At 46.9% G+C, this 22,602-nt stretch overlaps 1 long non-coding RNA gene across 1 annotated transcript in view, besides 1 other annotated feature; it reads left to right on the top strand.

The window, feature by feature from the left end:
• Positions 1-525: 525 nt before the first annotated feature.
• Positions 526-22,602, top strand: part of LOC124902544 (uncharacterized) — a 57,376-nt gene continuing 35,299 nt past the window's right edge. Inside the window, exon 1 of the long non-coding RNA XR_007062369.1 lies at positions 526-4,267. This is a non-coding gene — a long non-coding RNA (uncharacterized LOC124902544). The remainder of the gene's footprint in view (positions 4,268-22,602) is intronic.
• Positions 13,047-13,548: an enhancer, noted in NCBI's record as "H3K27ac hESC enhancer chr10:44833715-44834216 (GRCh37/hg19 assembly coordinates)". NCBI's record gives its function as "activates a minimal SCP1, AML or CMV promoter by ChIP-STARR-seq in naive H9 embryonic stem cells {active_cell/tissue: H9 hESC(naive)}" and the evidence as "EXISTENCE:reporter gene assay evidence [ECO:0000049][PMID:30033119]".

Below are 22,602 nucleotides of genomic sequence, written 5' to 3'. Positions count from 1 at the left end.
TGGGACTGGTCATGCTGAAGTTCAAGTGAATCCTGGTGACTGTGCTCTTCAAATGAAAAAGATAGCGTGAAAGAGGGGAAAGGGCTGGGCGCAGTGGCTCAGTCCTGTAATCCCAGCACTTTGGGAGGCCTAGGCTGGCAGATCACCTGAAGTCCGGAGTTCGAGACAAGCTTGACCAACATGCAGAAACCCTGTTTCTACTAAAATACAAAAAAAATTAGCCGGGCATGGTGGTGCATGCCTGTAATCCCAGCTACTCAGGAGGTTAAGGCAGAAGAAACGCTTGAATCCGGGAGGTGGAGGTTGCAGTGAGCCGAGATGGCGCCACTGCACTCCAGCCTGGGCGAGAGAGGGAGACTTTGTCTCCAAAGAAAGAAAGAGAGAGAGAGAAAGAAAGAAAGGAAAGAAACACCTTTTGGATACTTTGTCTAGAAAAGAAAGAAAGAAAGAAAGAAGGAAAGAAAGAGAAAGAAAGAAAAAGAAAGAAAGAAAGAAAGAAAGAAAGAAAGAGAAAGAGAGAGAAAGAGAGAAAGAGAAAGAAAAAGAGAAAGAAAGAGAGAGAGAGAAAGAAAGGAAAGAAACACCTTTTGGAGGTGAGACCACACCGCTAGTAGCTACCTGCTCCTAGTGACCCACAGGGAATCCTTCACCAACTTGATCCTTAGTTTCTTCATTTGTAAAATAGGGAGAATGAGAGTGTCTACCTTTCAGGGTTACTGTTAAAGTTCAGAAGGAATAAGCAAGGGCAAGTTATCTGCAACCAAAGTGTGCCATGCCCACAGGGAAATCAGATAGCAAAGTTGCCTGTAGGTCACACATGTCTATCTTTTGGGGTGCATGCAAGCAGGCAGGTGGCTAGGTCACATGCTGAAAAGGCCTTAGATAAAGTGTGTGCTCCCTACAAAAAAGGGGGATCTGGCAGACTTTCCATCTGTTCCAAGTGCCCAGCACAAAGCAAAGGTATATCTCCTAGGTTTTCAAGACTAATTTGCCTAACTGGGCACATACTACACCCAGGCTTGGTGTTGTGTGAAGAGGCTGCTTGCTTTACAGATCTGCCTTCTTTACTCCTCCCATAGTCCTGTATGACGGGTATTTGCTATGCTTTGAATGTATCCCCAACAATTCATGTGTTGGAAACTTGAACCCCAATGCAACAGTGTTGGGAGTGAGGCCTAGCAAGAGGTGATTAGTTTATGAGAACCCTGCCCTCAATGTCATTGTCATGGGAATGAATTAGTTATCAAGAGAGTGGGCTTGTTATTAAAGCACGTTCAGCCCCCTCTTGCTCTCTTGCTCTGTGTATACTTGCTTGCTGTTTCACCCTCTACCTTGGGATGGTACAGCACAAAGGCCCTTCCCAGATGCTGGCACCATGCTCTTGGATATCCCAGCCTCCGGAATCATGAGCCAAATAAACTTCTATTGTTTATAAATTACCCGGTCTGTGGTATTCTGTTATAGCAGCAGAAAACAGACTACAACAGTATTATTCCCATTTTCCAGAGAGAGGACCTGAGGCTCCATTAGGTTGAGTTAAAGCCAAACGTCATTAAATCATTAGGAGACAGAGCCTACTAGCGGCTGCTAGTTCCCACGTATTCACCCATAACTACTGCACAAAGATGCCTCAGAATAAGAAGAGGACATGTTCTTGACTTTGAGGACATTGAGGAGCAGGAAGAAAATAGATACAAAAATGAGCAAGATGTTGTGTACATGATGCTGTAGGAGTGGGACAGGAGTGCAGTGTCGAACCTGTTCAACTGTCCATGCTATATAGTAGTCCCACAAGGTGAAGGACATATTATACTTGAGAGAGAGAGGTGGGAGGAATATGACAAGCCATGCTGAGATCATGTGCTTATCCCTGGATGGTTGGGGCAGTTGAACCTTGAGTGCCAATGTCCTGAAGGCCACAGGGGGAATGGAGAAGGAGCAATTACTCAAAGGAAAAGTGAGAGTTCCATTACCAGAAGAAAAGGGTGAATGATGGCTAGGCTGAACCAACCAACGTATTCTCCCCGTTTTCAGCTGACTAATTCAGGCCTCGTCCCCTGGTGCCTTTCTTGTATACCCGGCTCTCTTAGCATCTGCCAGTTCCATAACACTTAGCTAATGCCTTGTGCATATTGTCTGTTATCACTAGACTATGAATTCCCTGAGGGCAAGAATTAGGATTTTCATCTTTGAATCTCCAGGACCATAGTTCAATAAACGTTTAATATGGCAAGATGAACTTTGTCTTATGAAAAATGACAATTTTCAGAGCAGGGCAATGGCAGGATCTGATTTGTGCTCTGGAAAGATTTATCTGATCACAATATGGGGGCTAAATTAGTGGGGAAAGCAAATTGAGACAGGAAGACAAATATGGAGACTATAGGAGCCACCATCATAAGAGATGAGGAACCATGACAATGGTAGGGTGGAAATATGTAAATATCAGTATCTTCCTATGTTGGCCCAGCCAACATAGGAACATTAATTAACATTAATTGATTATTAAGGAGGAATGTCTTTGCTAAGCACGATACTGTATGGACATGGTAACAACTCAGTGTCACAGCAGAGCTTACAATAAAAAGCAGCCACCTCAGCCCCACTGTCCACACACAGGCTCACTTCTGCAGGCAGCCTCTTTCTATCATTTGTCTCTACTTCTTCTGCTGTTTATTTCACCCTTTATTTTCTCTTTTTGTTGTTTGATGGTTCATCTATATGTGCTGGGCTTCCTCATTCAGGTGGCCGCTTCTCCCTGCCCGCACTGTGAGTCCTGCACTCAGATTCCCAAATAAATCCTGGGGCCTGATGTAGGCACTGAGGATGCAGGATGCAGCAATGAACGAATGGGCCAGGCATCATGAAGTCTACATCCAAGCGGTGCATGCAGAAAGGAAACAGTGACTACGTAGGATCATGCCAGGACGTGATGCATGTATCGAATGAAGGGTAAGTAGTGAATGTCAGCTTGGTCTTCCATGGTGTGCTGGAGGGCCTTTCTGGGTTTGAGAACAGCACAGCCTCTTGTCCCCTAGACCTGTCTTCTTGATGGGGAAAGTTCTGAGACTGGACAAGGTGAGCAGAGAGGACGGCCTGGTGGAGTGTGAGGAGGGGAGAGCATTCACCACAGCCCCTGGGCCAGCCTCACCCACCCTTCCTAGAGGACAGCACAATGAGGGGACAGAGGCCAGCAGCTGGCCATGGCAGGCTGAGTCCAAGGCTGATTGATTCTGGGTGCCTCGTCTTCTCTGATAAGTGGTAGCTTGGGACCAGAATTAAATTTATTTGAAACACGTAAAGGAAAATGATGCTTTCCCACTGCAATCTGGACAGGCAGATTCACACCTGATACCTATACCTGCTTCTCTATGAAGGCAGCAGCAAGTATTGCCAAACAGAGGTAAGGAGCATGATACATGCTCTCCCTCCCTTTCCACAGACCCCGGTGAGGAAAGCTGGTCACGTCTACTGTCAGGCAAATAGCCCAGAAGCTTTTGAGTGAGCTGAGGGCTGACACTCACCCAACAGTAACACAGACACCCTCAGGCAAGGCGTCCAGGGCAGGGTGATGGCCGTCTCATCAGTCAGGCTCCCCGGGAGGACCACAGAACACCTTCTCCACTCTGAGGCCACACAGCCTATGTCCAGGTTCAGTGCCTTTCCCTCCCTCACAGAGGCCTTTCTCCAGGGCATGGAGCTCTCAGGGAGTGCAGGTGAGGGCCCAGACCCCAGCAGCACACCTGGGGCAATGGTATCTTAAGCTGCATTTCTGTGGCTGACTCTAAGTTTGACAGAATGGTTTCAAGGTATTCAGAATAGGGGAGTTACAAGGAGACCCAGTGAATGAGGCCGTGATGTTTGTCAAATACTCCCTGGCACACAACGCAGAAAGCAAATGTAGAAACTGCTCCAAAGTGATGCCTCCCAGGGGTTGAGGCTTTTCTGGGCTCTCTGTGGTGCTCAGTGCTGATGCTGCTTCCCAAAAGCTCTGAGCGCTTCAGTGCCCCCCGCAGGCCTCTGGGTACCTGGGACACTGAAGGCCTCTGGTACTTGATTATGCCCAGGGTCCTGGTGTCATAAAGAGCTCCCTGAGCATGGTTGCTTCTCTGATTTCCCAGCACCCATTCCCCCTCCCTAACAGCACGACTCTGTTTTGCAGAATCTTCTTTCCCTCTCCCTGCTCCCATCCAGCAGGTCTTTGACTTCCAAGCTGGGCCAAGGGATGAGCTGCTGGGAGATACGACCCTCAGTCCAGAGAGTCAAGGTGAGACAGTACCTGGATGGCGTTCCTTCTGGTGCTGGTTTCTGAGAGGGAAGGCAGGGGACTCCCAGCCCCCCAGGCAACCCTGGTCCTCATCCTGCCTTTTTTCTGGTTCTCAGTCTGGTTCTCCACTGTTCTTCCCATCTAAGAATCTAACACACACCCCTCAGTAAAAGTACTATTGCCTGAGAGGGCAGTAGGTGGTGGGAGGAGACTGGCACTTCTAGCTGGTATCTGAACCCTGTGTGACTTGGACTATGGATGCCAACAGGATAGTCTAAATCAACCGATTTATAGGCTCTGATGCCTACATCCATTTAAATGTACACGGATGTTTTGTTTTTAAAACTTTGGTAGCTGTCAAGTAGGCAAACATATGCAAAACATGGCGGGATGGGTCGTTTAAGCTCCTGAGGCTGAGGACCTGCTCTGTCTTCTGCTGCCATCAAGTCTAGGGTGCTGGGGGACACAGGATAGTGAGGTGTCGCCTCAGGGAGCTTCATGCTGACCTGGGAGGGGGAATAAAAGGGTCTAGCCCCACACCGATGATACTCCCCTGCTCTCTTCTCCTCCCTACACTTCCCCTCTTGCCGACCTCAAATATTCCAATTGTTTCATGTCAATCACTCCCAATTCTCCACCTTGTTCCCACTTTCACTTCTAAAATCCAGTCTCACATTTTCTATTGCCACCACCATGAAATCCCAAGGATGCCTCAAACTTATTAAATCTAACCTTTGAGCATCAAGCGATGTACAGGGATAGAGGGGAATAGGGCAAAAAGCAAGAAATGGGAGGACAATGGTTTTGGAGGAGCAGCATTTTGGTCCGCAGCGTCCCCAACTCCACACACATCACTTGGCACTGGGCATGCAGTGGGCACTTCATAGCTGCTCCCTGAGTGAATGCCTTCATGAAGGGCTCCAGCATCCCCTCAGCGGTGAAACCTGCGGAGTCCCACCACGCCTTCCTTCCTACTCCGCTCAGGCCACCCTAGCTCAGGCCCTCACCGCCTTGTCTCTGAGCTACAGGATCTTAATTGGTCTCCCCTCTTCAGCTTCCCCACTCCAATCCATTTTGCTGATTAAGTCTTTCTCAAGCCAAGTTGTCCTAGTATTTGTCACGTAAACATGTGTACCGACTGTGTGCCTGGCCCTGGGCTGAGGGCCTCACACACAGCAGCATGCCTGCTCTTCAAAGTCACCGTGTGAGGCCAGGACTCACTGTCCCCTCGCTACAGGGGAGAAAGCTGAGTGGAGAGGCAGCACAGCTCCCTAGCCATGCAGGTGGAGCATTCACTGGCCCCATACCTGGGCACCTGGTCATAGCACTGTTCTGTTGGGCTCTACATTGTATATATTTTTAATTTTCTGCATATTGCCATGTTTTGACATCTAAAAAATCCTTTCTAGCTGAGGAGAAACTGCAGCTCCTGGGCCAGTTATTAGAAAGAGGAAAGGGCCCAGTGGTGAGCATGCCTTTGAGGTGCAAACTGACCCATCAGAGCTCTCCCTCCTTTACCTGGGCCTTGCACCCCAGGAGGCAATACCCGCTGCCCTAACCATCCCAGGGACAGTTCTGTGGTCTGGATGTTCCTATCCCCCCAAAATGTGTATGTCAAAACCCTAACTCCCCGAGGTGATGGTATTAGGAGGTGGGGCATCTGGAAGGTGATCAGGTCATGGGGGCTCTGGGATTAGTGCCCTTATAAAAGAGGCCTGAGGGAGATCATTTGCCCCTCTCACTGTGTGAGGACACAGCAAGAAGGCACCCTCTGTGACCCAGGAAGAGGCCCTCATCAGACACCACATCTGCCAGCACCTTGATCTTGGACTTCCCAACCTCTAGAACTGTGAGAAATAAATGGCTGTTGCTTATCAGTCCCCCAGCCCATGGCATTTTTTACAGTAGCCTGCATGAACTGAGACAGCCAGGCACCAGACAACTAGGCACCATCTACGTCCAAAGCCCATCACAGTGACTCTGACACTCCTCGCCCTGCTCTGCCTTGCCTTTCCCACAGAAACCCCAGTAGAGGTCTTAGCCCAGCCTTCCCCTGTCCCTGCCTTCTGCTCCTGACTGCCCTGGTGTCCTTCCCACATTTGCCCAGCACAGCACCCTCCTGGCTCTAGGACCCATGAGTGTAATGGACTCTTCCCAAGCCTCTCCTGTGTCTCCTTCTGTGGCTGCACCCGACGACCATCATGTAAAAAAATAAGAGCTTCTCATTCAAACATTTTTAATTGCTCCCCAAAGTGTACAGAGAAATAATAATAGGTCCTTCAATCTGACATTCCAGAACTTTCTGTCTCTTCCCAGCCTCTTTCCAGGTGGATCTCTCCATTAGCGTCCGACTTGGCAACTTGGGGCTCTTCCCTCATGCTGGCTTTTCTCCTCCCCTTGCTTAAAGGAGGGTCATTTCTCCCCATGTTCAACTCCCACCTCTTGTGGAGGGCTAAGGTCATGCAATACCTGGAACCTCCTTGTGAAAATATGTCTGCATAACCTTACCGTGGGCCCTGTAGTAGCGCTCCTGTGCTGACCATGGCCTCCTGAGGTGTGTCGTGATGGCACCATCGCCTCTCCCAGGCTCTGGAGCAGGGAGAAATGGCCTCTCATGCCCTCACCTGCAGGGGGCCTCCCAGCCACCCCTGCATTCTCGGCAGCATTCAATGAGTGACCAGAAGGGAAGTTCTTCCTCAGAGCCCTCATGAATCTTCCTTAAAGAGAGGCCATCTGCCTCAACATCTCTAGGAAGGAGATCTCCATCTCGCCAGCCTGTGGCCAAGGAGATCAGAATGTCCAAACCTCTTCATAAGAACCCCAGGGCAGAAATAATGGATCACTCTTTCATGACACACAGTAACCCTCTTCCCAGCTGAGCAATTTGGTGTTTTAAAACACCAAATTCATTACTCCAGGTCATTAAAAATAATCATGAGTTAAAAATAAATATTCAGTATACGAATTAAGAGTTAGCAGGCAAGTTTCTTCTATTTCTTTTTAAGCCCCTGAAATCCCAAGTTCTCTCTTTCCCCAGTTTATTGAAATTCGAAAGCACGCCTGTGTTCTGCCAGGTTCCAAGTGACCCTACGTTAAAAAGACACCCTTGAGGCAGAGCAGGTGGTTGGTACGGACCTGACTGTAAAAACACATTGATTAATTTTTAAAAGTGCAGGGTATGTGGGGTTTTTTTGTTTGTTTGTCTGTTTTTTAACCACTGAGAATCCCTTCTTTCTGTTCTCCCAGCCAAAATAGTCTCAAGATTTTTCCCCAAAAGAGTTTCCAGGGGCAACTTAACAAGTGCAGAAAATTCAGAGGAATCTGTGCTAGCCTGATGTTTCCAAGCCCTACCCTGGAAGAAAGTACACAAGTTAAATGCAGGGAAAGTTATGCTGGGAAGCTGTGCTAGTAACTGGGAAAAAAGAGTAGGTTCTTTTGGGCAGCATGGTTCCCAGATCCGGATCCACAGGTGCTTGGCGCCCTCCTCAGCCCTGTCTGCCCTCCAGGAAGTGAAAGAGCACTTAACTGCCCTGTGGGGCTGCCCTATCCCCAGACACTGGGGGATTCTACCCTTTCAGAGCTGTAGTCCTTGGAACCAGGGGTTGGAAGGGCTTATGCCCTGAGTAGTAGAGAGAACTGCCTATGCATTCGAAGAACTGCAGCTGATTTTCAGGCCCCAGGAAACTTCCTGGTGATCTAGTTGCTTTGTAAGCTTTCAAATGCTTACCTGTCTTCCTCTGCAGTAGGGCTTGGGAGGCACATTCAAGCCCAAAGATTTCCTCTTTGGACTTTCATTTTGTAAAATTTTGTCCATTTCTCTAGGTTGGTCAAGTAAATTTTGGATCTTAGTTCTGTCACCCAGGATCTCCTCCCAGCTTTGTGTGCTCAAAAGCCTCCAGCTACTCAGGAGGCTGAGGCAGGAGAATTGCCTGAACCCGGGAGGCGGAGGTTGCAGTGAGCCAAGATCATGCCTCTGCACTCCAGCCTGGGCGATAGAGCAAGACTCTGTCTCAAAAAAAAAGAAAAAGAAAAAGAAAAAAAAGGAGGCTCAAGTTGGCGAATGTCCCAAGTGCCTTTTCAGCAGCCAGGCTTCCTCCCCCCATCAGCAGGAGATGAGAGACCTGGCAGACAGGTTGTGCCTCGGACTCACTGCTTTCTGTCCCTTCATTCCCTTAAGACCTGTCTGAATTTCACCATTGCCATGGCTTTCTTCTGTGCCGTTCAGATTTTTCAGCTTTCTTATAGAATTGAGTTTGGACTGAGAACACGGGGCTCTGAGATCTCCCCAGGAGAGAGGTGGAATCAGGATCCCCCTTCATTTACCCACCTGATCATCATCCCTTCCTGTCTTAGCTGGACCAAGACTGGCTTATGCCCCATGTGGAAACCAAGCCTGCCTTTGCCTGCTGTGTCCCGCCTTTCAGTCCGTGGATGTTTCTACATGTTAGAGGTGTGCCAAGGTTCTCATTTCCCAAATATTCGTTCCCAGAGAAGGACGCAGGTGAACCACGAGTTCTTCTGCATTCAGGATGTGGCGAGAAAGCCAGGTTTTCCTGCCCTATCCTCCCTCCCCTCAACAAAAGTGAGCCTTCCTCTTTTATACCAGTCTGGGCAGTGCAGAGTAGGAAACAAACAGCTCTGTTTCTCCCTCTCCTTCCTCAACAAATGTGTTTCCCTGCAAAGCAACTTCACTATTTGTGTGTGGGTTCTCAGTGCCCTCCATGGCAGCTGGCTGCAGGCCATCCCAGGGCTAACCCATAACATTCACAAGACAGCCCCATGGACAGAGAGAATCACTCATGAACTCCAGCAATTATGACGTTTCTTTCTTTTATTCTAATAGAGTAACTCTCAATGTATCTCCAGCTAAGTTATTTATCAAATAAAAAGTTCATATTCCATACCTAATTAGATTTCTTTGTAAGCTTCGACTGATCCATCCTATAGATCTGGTTTGTTGAGAATGCAATGACATATGAGAAGATGAAATGAAAGCAAGTTCATTGGGGGAGTTAATGCTTTAAAGTTGAGACTTCTTGGGACTGGTTCAGAGAAGGCTTCATTTCTGGGAAAGAAAAACAAAGAAAGATGAGATGGGAAGAAGCGAGAGGTCATATAATTTGGTTTAATGAGGACTGTTTGGGGAGCTGTGGCTTTTAGCCATGCCTGTAAAATTCTCCTTTGACTACATATGAGGGCTACATGAGAATTTTTCTGCTAAAGATTTAGTATTCCAGTTATGTATTACTGTGTATTGAACCATCCCAACATGTAGTGCCATAAACCCACCCCCATTTCATTGTGCTTGTGAATTCAGTGGGTCATGAGTCTGAACAGGATGAAAGGGGGTGGCCTCCCCTCCTCAGTCTCTAAGGCCTCAGCTGGAAAGACTTGAGTGGTCAGGCGTGATGCTGAGGGCTGGGGCTGAGCAGGGCCTTCTGCAGGTGCTGTCACTCAATGCCTGGGCTTGACAGCTGGGAGGCTGGGTCCTGTTGGAGTGCTGACCACAGTTCCTCCTCCTCACCTTTTTGCCTGGTTAGGCGGCTCATAGCATGGTCGCTGGATTCTAAAAGAGAGGGCCTGTGATGGAATATTTTATGTGTCACCTTGGGTAGGCCATAGCAGATATTTGGTCAAACACCAGCCTAGCTGTCACTGTGATGGCATTTTTAGATGATATGAGCATTTAAATCAGTATACTCAGAGTAAAGTCAATCATGCTTTATCATGTGGGGGGCCTCGCCCAGTCAGTTGAAGGTCATATAGCAAAAAGACTGAGGTACCCTGAGGAAGAGGGAATTCTGCCTCCCGACTGTGTTTGGGTTCAAGTTGCAGCACCAGCTGTTTCCTAGATCTGCAGCCTGACAGCCTGTTTTGCAGATGTTGTACTTGCTGGTATCCACAATTGTGGGAGTGGATTCCTTAAGGTAGATCTCTCTGTACACACACACACACACACACACACACACACACACACACACACACCCTATTAGTTCAGTTTAAGAAACAGTAATCGATAGGGGCCCAGGAGAGAGTCTCAAGAGAGATTATTAGAGGAGATGAAGGCTGAAGTGTCCAGGTCACGTCCCTAGGCTCTTTGGTGGAGCCCAGATTCGGGGGGAGGGGACATAGCCTACCTCTCCAGGGGAGGAATGTCAAGGAATGTGGAACCATTGTTTTCAGCCTCCACACCATGAAACTGCAGTGGCCCTTTGACAGCCAGGACCATACAGAGGGCAAGGGTTCCCAGTAATTGTCTAGGGAGCTGGGTGAAGAGCAGAGAGGAAGAGCACACCTGTGCTAAGAGCCCCAGCACCATTGCACAGCCTCTGAACACATCCTCTTAGGAGGAGCCCATTTGCACCTACATCTCCTTAGGACCAAGTCATCAAGGTGAACTACTGCCTCTGAGCTTTGGGAGAAACCTGTGGCACAGGCCATGGGATCTGAATATCTGGATGACACAGTAGGCAACTTGGAAGAGGGTGTAGAGGCAAAACCTAACATTTTGTGGATTAGGTTGTTGGGCGGCTGAACACATGGGCGACAAGGTCCTCCCTCTACTCCCAGTGCACCAGGTAGTACAATAAATTCTTTCATGGTCTCATTTAACCTTTGAAATAAGCATGTAGAGTAGTGTCTCAGGAATCTATTGTAGAACAAATCACTCTAACAGTCATTTCATCATGTACCCTCGTGGTCCTGGGGTAGAATAGGCTCGTCTGGGCTCTCCCTCAGCTGTGGTCAGAGGGCAATGAGGGCAGAAGTTCTCTCCAGGCTCACCCACTCACTGTGGATGTGCCATCTGCTGGGACCTCAGCTGGGACTGTCAGCTGGAAAGGCTGTGTGGGGTCTCCAGGTGGCTGCTTGGCTCCAAGCAAGAACATCCCAAGAGGGTCTAGCAGAAGCTGTGTAGCCTCTTATGACTTCACCTCAGAAACACAGAGTGTCACTTCCACGGCATTCCATTTTTTACCAGTGAGTCTCAAAGGCCAGCCCTCATTTGGGGGAAGGAGTATCAAAGAATTTGCAGATGTGTCTTAAAACCATCACAGGCAGCATGAATTTCTCTCACTATATAGATGAGGAAACCAAAACCTGGGAGCCTGAGTTGACCGTGATGGTGCACACAGCTAGCAAGCAGCAGAAGTGAGACATGAAAACAGCTCAGCCAGGGTCCGAAGCCTGTGCATACAACCACCCTGCCACCCTGCGTCTCTGTAGCCAATATTTTAGCAGGGCATATACTACATAGATACATAGGAACAGAATTTGAGATTGAAAGGCACGAGAAAGAACTAATAAACTATTCCAAGAGCAGGCAAGGAATGGGCTTGTACCACTAACAGAGGTCAGAAAAGGCTTCCCATGGCAGGTGGACTTGGCAGAGTGGGTAAGATAAGGATGCGCAGAGAAGCTGGAGGGGGACAGGAAAATGTGGCAGGGTGGACGGGGAGCAGGTATTTTAGGCAGAGACACTGCACATGTGGAGGCAGGAACATACCTGGTAACCCTAATAACAGCCCAGTGTGCATACAGTGATTCACAAAAGAAGAAAATGAAGGAGATGTGGACTGGCACCTGGTATAAAAGTGCTTAAATGCCAGGTCGAGGCCTTTTGCTTTCATTTAAAGCTATGCTTCTCCAAGTGGTCCCTGGACCGGCAGCATCAGCATCACCTGGGAACTTGCAAGAAATGCACATTCTTAGCCCCACCCTAGACCTATGTTTTAACAAGTGCTCTAGGGGATTCTGATACAGCCTTTAGTTTGAGACCGTCTGCTCCTAGGTATGGGGGGCAGGAGAGGTGGGGACCCAGCAGTTTTGAGCGAGAGAGTGCAATAATCTGAGTTGCTCTTCAGCAGATCACCCTGGCTGGGGTGTGCTGGGCAGACTGAAGTAAGAGAGCAAACCTTTGCCCCAAGGAAGGGTAATGCAGGGCTGAACTAGCACAGGAAGAGAGGAGGAAGGCAGGAAGGAAGGGCCCAGCACTGGGGCCCTGCAGCCTTGGGACTTGGTGATGGTGAGGAGAGCAAGTTCTCCCTCACAGCGTCCCATGTGGACCTCACAGGTACAGCCAGCTACTTAGAATTTCTCTAAATATTTGAACCACATGGCCCAGGAATCTAGGTATAAACTCAGGACGCAGGGGTTGGGTTACAGGCTCAGTTTCCTATTACACAATCAAGCAACTCTCTGCATTTTGCCTCCGGGAAAGCATTGCTTGGTCAAGCATTTTCTTTCAGCCCTTCATGCTTCATTGCAAGGCCTTTTGGCTAGACTCAAGGACCACTGAATTTTCTAAACCACCTTTGCAAAATGGGTTTAAAAATATGATCTACCACATATGGTTGAAAATTAAATGAGATAATTCTTCACACTCAATACTTATTAACCACTTTTATTATCACCCTCATGATCATTATCATTATTACTCACTCATTCATTCATCCAAGCTATATTTGCTGTGCACCCACTATGTGCAATGCTCTGGAAACATAGTGGTGAATTATCATGGCCACTCCTCTGGGTCTCTCTCTCCTTCATTGCCAGTTTACCTGTGAGATGGACAAGAACATGGGTCTTAGAACCTCATAAATTGGGTTTGAGCTCTAAATTTTTTAAAACATTAACTTTATAATCTTAGAAAATTACATCTCTAGGGCTCTTAATTCACTTGCAAATGGGATTGAAAGACTTGTCTTGTGTCACACAATTGTGTGAGGATGAAATGAGAAAAGAGATGTGGAGGCATTTGGAGGATGGTACAGGCTGTGCACCCTCAGGAAGTGCCAGGATTCCTGCTTCTCACTTCCCCTCCCTCAATCCCATGTCCTCCCCTTGGCCCGTTCACTCCCAAAGTTTCCCACTCTCTCTGGTCTCTAGGCCCAATTCCACACTGTAGTGTTGCACATTTCCCTGTCTCTGCTTCTGTGCTGCTCCCAGATGCTCTTCCAATTCAGTGAAAGCCAATTAAGTAAGCGATCAATTTGCCAAACGACTAATTCAGTGAACACACCAAATATACAGATTTGTCAACAACTTGCTTCTTTTGACTCTCTAGAGTATGTGGCAGTTCTTACTGAATGTGATGATGGTCACGGATATTTAAGGAGTATTTCATTTGTGCTGCTGTGGGGATCATGGAGGTACCAGAGCATAGAGGACTTTTCTGATGGAGGAAAATTCAGCAACAGAGGCCTGTCTGGAGGCTGACTCAGAGCGGGAGGGACAGAGGGAGCAGGAAACCATGGAGGCCACAGAGCCTCGAGCCCCCAGCTCCTATAGGCCTCTTAGGCTCTGCCAGTTCATCCAATATAAATCACTGGAGACTTTAATAAATACATTTTTTAAAGATCTATTCACTGATCAGTGTGTGGTCCACGGGTCTTGAGGGACTTGTGGAGGCTCAGACAAGCCCTTCCAAGTGGATTTTCAGCCACTTATGAGCACACGTGGCTGAGCCCTGATCTTAACGGCACAGGGATTAGCTTTGTCTCTGATGGTCGCCTGCCCTTCAACTTGAATCTATAACTCAGTGCACTTACCAAGGTCCCAGCAGAGGCCACAGAGGTGAAGGAAGAGGGGTCATTCTCTAGAATCCCGGATGTGGAATTTGGGGCCACCTGGAAGGGTCTGGCCCTTGAATGTTTTAGGTAACATCTTGCTGTATTTTCTCTGTCTGAACCTTCCCCTCAAAGCTACCACTTTCCCCACCTGTTTCAACAATTTTTTCTTTTCCCAGCCAAGATTGAGGGTCAGAAGATTTTCCGCATTCACAAATGTCCTCTGCATTTCTCAGCTTCCGGGCTGGGCTCTGAGCGTCATGGCTCAGAGCGCCTTCATTCCCCTTTCCTTCTCTGCTTTGCATCTGTGATTGTGTTAGTTGTCCCGGGCCTGTACCTGTGAGATATATCAGCTACAGTTCCACTGAGCATGCATGTGCTCACTACTGTAGCTTCTCACCACCAGGAGTAAAGTGGGGGTTCCCAGAGTGGAGGCAGTCGGGAGGTCTAGCTGGGCACACCTTAGTGAGGCTGAAACTGTCACACCTTCCCCTCTTGCTCCTGTATGAGGAGGAACAGAAAGCCATGTCTAACAGAAAGCTTAACTGCTGGGGTCCAGTGATCACATCCTGCACCATGAGCTCTGAGGGAGGACACCCCCTACCAAGGTGGGAGGACAGTGAAGGTCACACCTTAGGGTTTTAATTTGCCTCTGGGGAAAAAGAGCCATAGGCCAGAGGAACTTGCCTAAGACACACGCCAGGAAGGACAAAGGTGAAAGGGGCCATTCTGTGCAGCTGGTCCTCTCCAAGGCAGGGTCCTGAGTACACTGGGCCCCCAATTCACCCAGCAGAGTCATTGGCTAAATTCAAACCTGGCCACATCTCACACCTCACCAAACATTCCAGCAGCCCGTCGTCCTCCAGGACAATTTCCAAGCTCCCCGCTCTGGCACATACAGTCTTTAGTATCAGGGTCCTGTCTATGTCTCCAGCCTAACCGCCTATGTTGGTATTTTACTAAGCCACACCCTATCTCTATGTTTTTGCTCATGCTGAGCCCCCGAGTGAATGTCTGCCCATACCCTCTTGTTTCAGGGGTAGCTCTTACCAAGCGTTTTAGTCTGCTTGGGCTGCCATAGCTAAGTATCACATACTGGGGGCTTACACCACAGGATTTATTTTCTCATAGTTCTGAAGGTGGGAGGTCCAAGATCAGGGTGTCAGCAGGGTTTCCCCTGAGCAGATGCTGTCTTCTCCCTGTGTCTTCACGTGGTCTTCCCTCTGTGGATGCCTATGTCCTAATCTTATAAGAACACCAGTGATATTAAATTAGTTCTCACCTTAATGATCTTATTTTAACACAATTACCTCTTTAAAGACCCTGTCTTCAAATACAGTCCTATGCTGAGGTATTGGGGGTTAGGGCTTTAACACTGGAATTTTTTCAGGGGACATAATTCAGCCTGTAATAGGAAGTCCAGGGTAGGGGGACTAATTGATCTGCTTTGAAGGGTCCTAACTACAAGGGGCAGCTGACCTCAGCACTGTCCCTGCAGCCCCGGGCTGGGTCCAGACCCCCGTCTGGGCCTCCCTCTGTGTCTCCACCATACCCTTCAACTCACTGGTTCCTCTGAGATTCTCTGCTGATGCAGTAAGAACTCTGGAGTGTAGGGGCCACTTCCCACTCACCTTTCTACCCCAACACCTAGCATATATTAGGTGCTCATATGTGCAAAGAAACTAACACATGTTCCCTGGGTGGTTTCTGGTCCTTCTTGTCTTCATGCCCCTTGCTGGAATGCCTCTCACCCTTCCCACTTTAACTCAAAGGTTTTTTATATCAGACCCATGATAAAGGCCCAGATGTAATGCAGAAAACCATTCCAGATTCTTCCACCGAGGTTTGACTGGACTGGTGTCTCTTCCTCTGTGCACAGAGCTCTCCCCATCCATTGTCCTCTGCCTTGGGTTTGGTTATATGATGTAGGTTTTGCTATGAACACCTCTCATCCTTTCCAAAGATGGGAGAGCAGGAACCACCTCCAACCCATCACTAGGATGACCACACCCGCTGGGTTTTAGCCACGGCAGCTCACAAAGCCCTTCTTGGAATGCTCTCGTCCTCTCAAGAACAAAGGTGGAAATCAAGGCGGAGGAGGAAGTGAAGCCCAGATAAGACTCACAGCCTGGGTGGGTCACACAGCATCATAGGTCTGTGGGTGGAGCTTCAGGTTGCAAATCTGCCCCAGGCTGCCGGACTTGCCCCAGGACGTGGAGCCTGCTGATGTCTGCCCCAACCTGTCTTACTCCTGTCCTACATTTTGCATCATTGAAACCCCTCACTAGCCTGGGGCTTGCTAGGGATGGGAGTCTCCAACTTCTCTGTGCTGATATAGTGGCTGGGGCACAGTCCCCATGAGACACGTCTCCAGAATTTCCTAACTGATTGTGATCACCAGCTCTGTGCCCATCTGTGATGTGAAGGCGGTTGCACTCATTTTAGGAACATGAGAACTGAAGGCTCTCTGTCTGTAACTGGAGACTGCCCCGGACAGGTCTAAATTTAAGTTCTGTGCATGCATCATTTTAATAATAGCTAACATTTATCCTGTGCCAGGCAAGAGGGCTCTCCATGTATTCCAATAAATATCTCACAACCCAATGAGGCCTGCTCTCTTGTTGCATTATAGACAGGGAAACTGAGGCATGGGAGATTAGATTATGTCCTCGGACCAGCCCTCTCACTAACACCAGTAATACGCTTGATGTTTCTGCTCCATTCTAGACCAGAACTTAAATGGAAAACCCCAAGCGAAGAGTTTGCAAATGCACACGCCTACATTATGGAGCTTCCTAAGCTAGCCTGGTGCAGGTGAACTGCATATCTGCTGGGAACTCACGCAGATGCAATGCTGACCATGCAGCTCCATGGCCACTCTGGCCTCTCTGTAGCCTGTTTCTCTAACTGTTTCACTGCAGCTGTGGGGACCATGGGGTTTAGCAAGGAATTAACCTAATTGTATCCTGTGAGTCATGGACATCGCTCAGCTAATAATAACAACAGCTAACCCCTGTACAAGCACAAGACCTCACAAATCACAGAGCTCCTTTACCCAGGAGAGCCCAGTTGATCCTTCTTGTTGCCTGTCCAGGGAAGTGGGTAGTTGTGATGTTTCTTGTTTTCTAGGTAATCCAAGGGCAAGACAAAGGGACAGAAGGTGGTGGTTTCTTGGCTGTGTGCCTGGAAACCTGAGGAGCCTCAGCATGAGGTGGATCCCATGGAATCTGAGCACTGAGCTGTCTTTATTTGGGGTTTCAGAGAGAACACAGATGGGACAGATGCTGCCCCCGCATTATGGGTTATTGCAAAAGGGACAGAACAGGATTCTTGCAAAAGTCTCCACAAAGACAGAGCGAGGAAAATGACAACACGCAGCACAGAAAGGAGGCAGCACCTGCAAGTGATTGGGGCCTTCAGGGATCATCTTACGCTGGGGTTTGAAAGTAATTATCCCCAGTTTATTATTCAGAACAGCAGCGTTTATAGCTGAGCAAGTCAGAAGAGAGCAAATCCAAGCCCCAATGGATGGGTCACCCCTTCTGATCTTTGGCCTTCTCAACCGCACCGATGTCCAGGGTCTGAGCTGTAAATTACGGTGGTGGCGACCTCTGGATTGGGCAGCTGCACCTGGGAGAAAGACATCCATGCTAAAAGGCAGGATGCAATCTTCAGGGCTGCGAGACCCCAAAAGAAGAGTTCAGTGTCTGAATTTTTAGGGCATGGAAGAAACAGAGGAGACTCCGTGGGTTAGGTAAAAGCCCTTTGCTCTGTCACCCAGATGCAGGGGCAGGGCTGGGCATGGAATCAGGAGGCCTTCCTTCCACTCTGGTGCTGCAAAGGACTGGGCTGGACACTCCTGGGTATGGGGTCAACTTAGCCTTGAGCTTCTGAGCTTGGCCTCTGCAGTGCAACTTGTCCTTCATCTTTCTCTCCAGCTCAGCCCTGTGACCACCTGCATAGCCAGAGTGGAAGGAGGCGTTACTTTCCCTTTCTGAAAAATGTCAGGCTTCACTGGTTTGTTTTCTTTTCTCCCCTTTCTCTTTCTCTGTTTCTTCATTTAGAACAGATCTGCATCAGGCAATTAACTGGTACTCAACAAATTGTTGATACATGTACTGCAATAGTCTCCTCTTATCCCAGGGGCACGCGTTCAAAGACCCCAGTGGATGCTTGAAACTGCAGATAGTGTGGAACTGGATGGACACTGTGTTTAAGCTCCCTGGGCTTCTTTCATAAGAACACCAACCCCTTTCTCCAGGGCTCCACCCGCATGGCGTGCTCACTCCTCATGGGCCCCTTTTGCCCTTTGCCACGCGAGGCCTCCTAGACAGCATTGTCTGTGAGGAACACGTCCTCGCCAGGCACCAAACATGCTGGCATCTTCATCTTGGGCTTCTCAACCTCCAGAACTGTGAGAAATAAATGTCCGTTGCCTATAAATTACCCGGTTTAAGATATCTGTGATAACAGCCTTGAATTGACTGAGACAGCGTCGCTTGGCTCTGTGGTGTCGTAGTGCCACTCAGATTCTCACTCTTCAGGGACACCAGCATGTGCCTCCAGGGCTGTCTGGTTTCCTGCTTTCTGAACAAAAGTTTATTTTTCTGAGTGGTATCACCTCTGGACAGAGAAGATAGGGGGTAGCCATCATCTTTCAGGGACCCTCAGCAGAAATAGAGTTACTATGATTCTTTACATACATAAAGTGCTTGCAGAGCACTTTCCACCCATTATCACACCCACTTCTCCAACACTTCTTTAGGTCCGGGATTATGGAATGTCAGAAGCAGCGAATTAATTCCCCAGGGACAGTTGGAAAGTGGGACTAATACAGGATCTGTGCCACCACTTTTTGTCCAGAACCATATATTTTTGCATCCTTCCTCTTCAAATTTATTTCAAGAGTAATTTTCCTCCATGGTTGATATTAGCATTGGGCTGTGTCATTTTCCCACCAATTACCCCCTCCCCATTTACCTTTTCTTCAATGATCTAGTTACTTTTTGCCTTAATTACTTACCTGTTCCTCCTGGACCTAGTTATAGTTTCTCCCTAACTTTTGGAAAATATGAAGTAAAAGAACAGACATTAGTAGAGGACTGATCAATGCTCAAAGCCAGGTGCACCTGGGACGGGGAGAAGCTCAGTGGAGTCATCATGCATCCCTCAGTAGCCACTGCTTTCTGGGTGGACGTTTTGGGGGGTCCCTGGCTGGCTGTGTATGATGGATCTGCATAGCTTGTGAGCACACTTTCAGTTGCACTCCCAGATAGTGGTTGGCTGTTACCATCCTGGCTCCTAGGTGCTCCCGAGATTTCTGCAAAACTCTAAGCAGGCACATCAGCCTGAGAACGTGACCGCCAAAGACTGCCCTGGTCCCCTCTCTGCCTGAATAGTCCCTTTGGCTTTTCCCTCGGTAGCATCCCGGAAGGTCACTTCACCCCATCCCCCAGTGCCTAGGGCTACTGTGGGTGCAACAATAAGATTGAGAAGGAGCACAGGCTTCTGAATCCAAACCTCTCGGGATCTTGGGACCAGCTTCCCCATGTGCCTGCTGACACATTGGGTAAACCAATTCCTGTAAAACTGGAATAATCATAATACTTACATTGAAAAAGAGTTGTGAGAATTAAAAAACATATATCTACAAAGAACTGTGTTGTGCACAAAGTTATCACTAATGTTAATGATATAAGACTCAAGAAATGTTTTCCCCTCCAAATGTTCAAACCTTGGATCATTGGGGATGCCTGCCATGATCCCTGAGAAAAGAACAGTAATGAAAGAATTCCAAGCAGCTGTTTGCTTTGAGGAAATGTATTGAAGAGAAAATAAGACATTGTTCCCATTTTTATGAACAGTTTTGTGAATAACATGGGCAATCCCTCCAAACCAGTCCCTTCTACATCCTCTAAAACTAACCAGATTTTATTATTTAAATATGTATGGATATTTACCGTATTTGCTGGAATGTTCATTTGAGAAAACAAATATGTGAGATCCAAGGCTGTGTGTTTATAAAGCATTTCCCACATAATTTTAAAAGAATTCAACACAGTTTATAGCCACATTTTAATTCCAATTAACGATACAGTGAGGCTGGATTTTTACATGGCATGAGCATTTAAAAAATACATGTGGTTCTCATATGATTAATACAGGTGTGCAATCACAGCTAACATTTTCTTGAAAGACAGCAAACTAGGTCTACTTTACCTGCTGCCTTTCATAAGCTGTGTGACTTCAGGTAAGGCTTACTGTTCTGAAGTTCAATTTCATCACTGTAAAACTAAGAGCCCCTGAAAGAGTGCTGTCATGCCAGTTATTTCTCTAAAATATTATGTTAAGAATGAAATTCACTAGTTCAAATTATTGCAAAAATTTCAAATTGCTGTATTCACTCTCTTCTCTTGAGAAATGCTGTTCTTCATTTCTGCAATATATACACACATATGTGTGTGTATGCAGGTGGAGCATTCCAAAACTAAAATTTTTAAATCCGAAATGTTTCAAAATCTGAAACTTTTTGAGTGCTTACATGACACTCAAAGGAAATGCTCATTAGAGCATTTCAAATTTCAGACTTTCTGATTTGAGATGTTTGACCACTATAGTACAACTATTCCAAAATCTGAAAAAATCTGAAATCTGAAACACTTCTGGTTCCAAGTATTTCAAATAAGGGATACTCAACTTATATCAATATCTGTATCTATCTATATCTATATGCCATGGTTTGAATATGTCCCTAAAATTTCATGTGTTGAAAACTTAATTGCCATTGCAACAGTATTAAGAGGTGGGGTCTTTAAAAGGTGATTAGGACCTGATGGCTCTGCCCTCATGAATGAATTAATGCTATTATCATAAGAGTGGGCTAGTTGTGGCAGGAGTGGGCTTTTGATAAAAGGATGAGTTTGGCCCAGATTTTTTCCCTTGTGTGTGCTCTCTAGTCATGTGACCCCTTCCACCATGGGATGACACAACATGAAGGCCCTCATCAGATGTGGCCCCTTGATCTTGGACTTCCTAGCCTTCAGAACTATGAACCAGATAAACTTTTATTATTTATGAATTAACTACTTTGTAGTATTCTGTTATAGCAGTAGAAAATGGACCAAGAAAATATATATGAATATACAAATATAATTGGAAAGACATTGATCAAGAGCATAATTCCAGGGTACTCTGGTGTACATATCTATGGGTTTTCCATCAAAAGATATGATTCTCAATTACTGGTAATGTGACATTAAGCAAATGACTTAGCCTCTCTGAGCCTGTAATCCAAGTGCTTTATCTTCATCTTTCTCTGTATCTGTGTCCTAGTTTACACTTCCTTATTTTCCAAGGCCAGAGCACAAAGATTGTTCATTTCCTCCTTTGCACACCTGGATAAGGCCAGCACAACTTGTTTTCTGTGGAGAATTTTACTTTCCTTTTTTGTCAAATGCTTTTGCATTTTTGCATCAATTGATAGGATCATGTGGCTTTTCTTATTTAGCCTGCTGATATATATGGTGGATTACACTGATTGACTTTCAAATGTTGAACTAGCCTTGCACAATTAAAATAAATCCCACTTAGTCATGGCTTATAATTCTTTTTATACATTACAGAATTCACTTTGTGAATATTTTGTTTATGATTTTTGCATCAAAGTTCATGAGATGTATTGGTCTGTAGATTTTTATTATTATTATTATTTTGGTACTGTCTTTGGTTTTGTATCAATACAATACCAGCTTTACAAAATGAATTAGGATGTGCTCCCTCCTCTGAACTAATTGTGAAAAAATGATGTTAATTTGTCTTTAAATGTAGGGTAGAATTCTCCTGGGAATCTGGCTGGTTCTGGACATTTCTGGGAGCTTTTTTTTTTTTCAAGACAGAGTCTCGCTTTGTCCTCCAGGATGGAGTGCAGTGATGTGATCTTGGCTCACTGCAAACCTCTGCCTGCTGGGTTCAAGCAATTATCCTGCCTCAGCCTCCCAAGCAGCTGGGATTACAGGTGCCCACCACCACATCTGGCTAATTTTTGTATTTTTAGTAAAGACGGAGTTTCACCATGCTGGCCAGGCTGGTCTCGAACTCCTGATCTTGTGATCTGCCCGCCTTGGCCTCCCAAAGTGCCCAGATTACAAGTGTGAGCCACAGCGCCCAGCCTCTGGGAGCTTTTAAATTACAAATTCCACTCCTTTTATGGTTATAGGACAATTGAGGTTGTCTATTTCATCCTTACTGAATTTTTCTAGTTGATGATCTTTGAGGAATAGGTTTAGTTTTCCAAGTTAAAGAACTCATAAGTATTAAGTTGTTCATAGCATTTTCTTATTATCTTTTTTAATGACTGCAGAATCTGTATTTATATCCCCTATTTCATTCCTGATATTATTTGTGTGTTTTTTCTCTCTCTGTTTTTTAAATTTTTTATTTTGTCAGCCTTTGTATTAGTCCATTTTCATACTGCTATGAAGAAATACCTGAGACTGGGTAATTTATTAAAAAACAAAAAGAAGAAAAGAGGTTTAATGGACTCACAGTTCCACAGGGCTGGGAGGCCTCACAATCATGGCAGAAGGTAAAGGAGAAACAAAGGTACATCTTACATGGCAGCAGGCAAGAGAGCATGTGCAGGGGAGCTACACTTTATACAACCATCAGAGCTCGTGAGACTTATTCACTAAGCACAGGAAAAACCCACCCCCATGATTCAATTGCCTCCCACCAGGTCTCTGCCATGACACGTGGGGACTATGGGAGCTA

Source organism: Homo sapiens, chromosome 10 (assembly GCF_000001405.40).
Source record: "Homo sapiens chromosome 10, GRCh38.p14 Primary Assembly".
In the NCBI taxonomy this organism is placed as follows: domain Eukaryota; kingdom Metazoa; phylum Chordata; class Mammalia; order Primates; family Hominidae; genus Homo; species Homo sapiens.
Note: the sequence above shows the minus strand (reverse complement) of the source record. Positions and strands in the feature narration are given on the sequence as shown.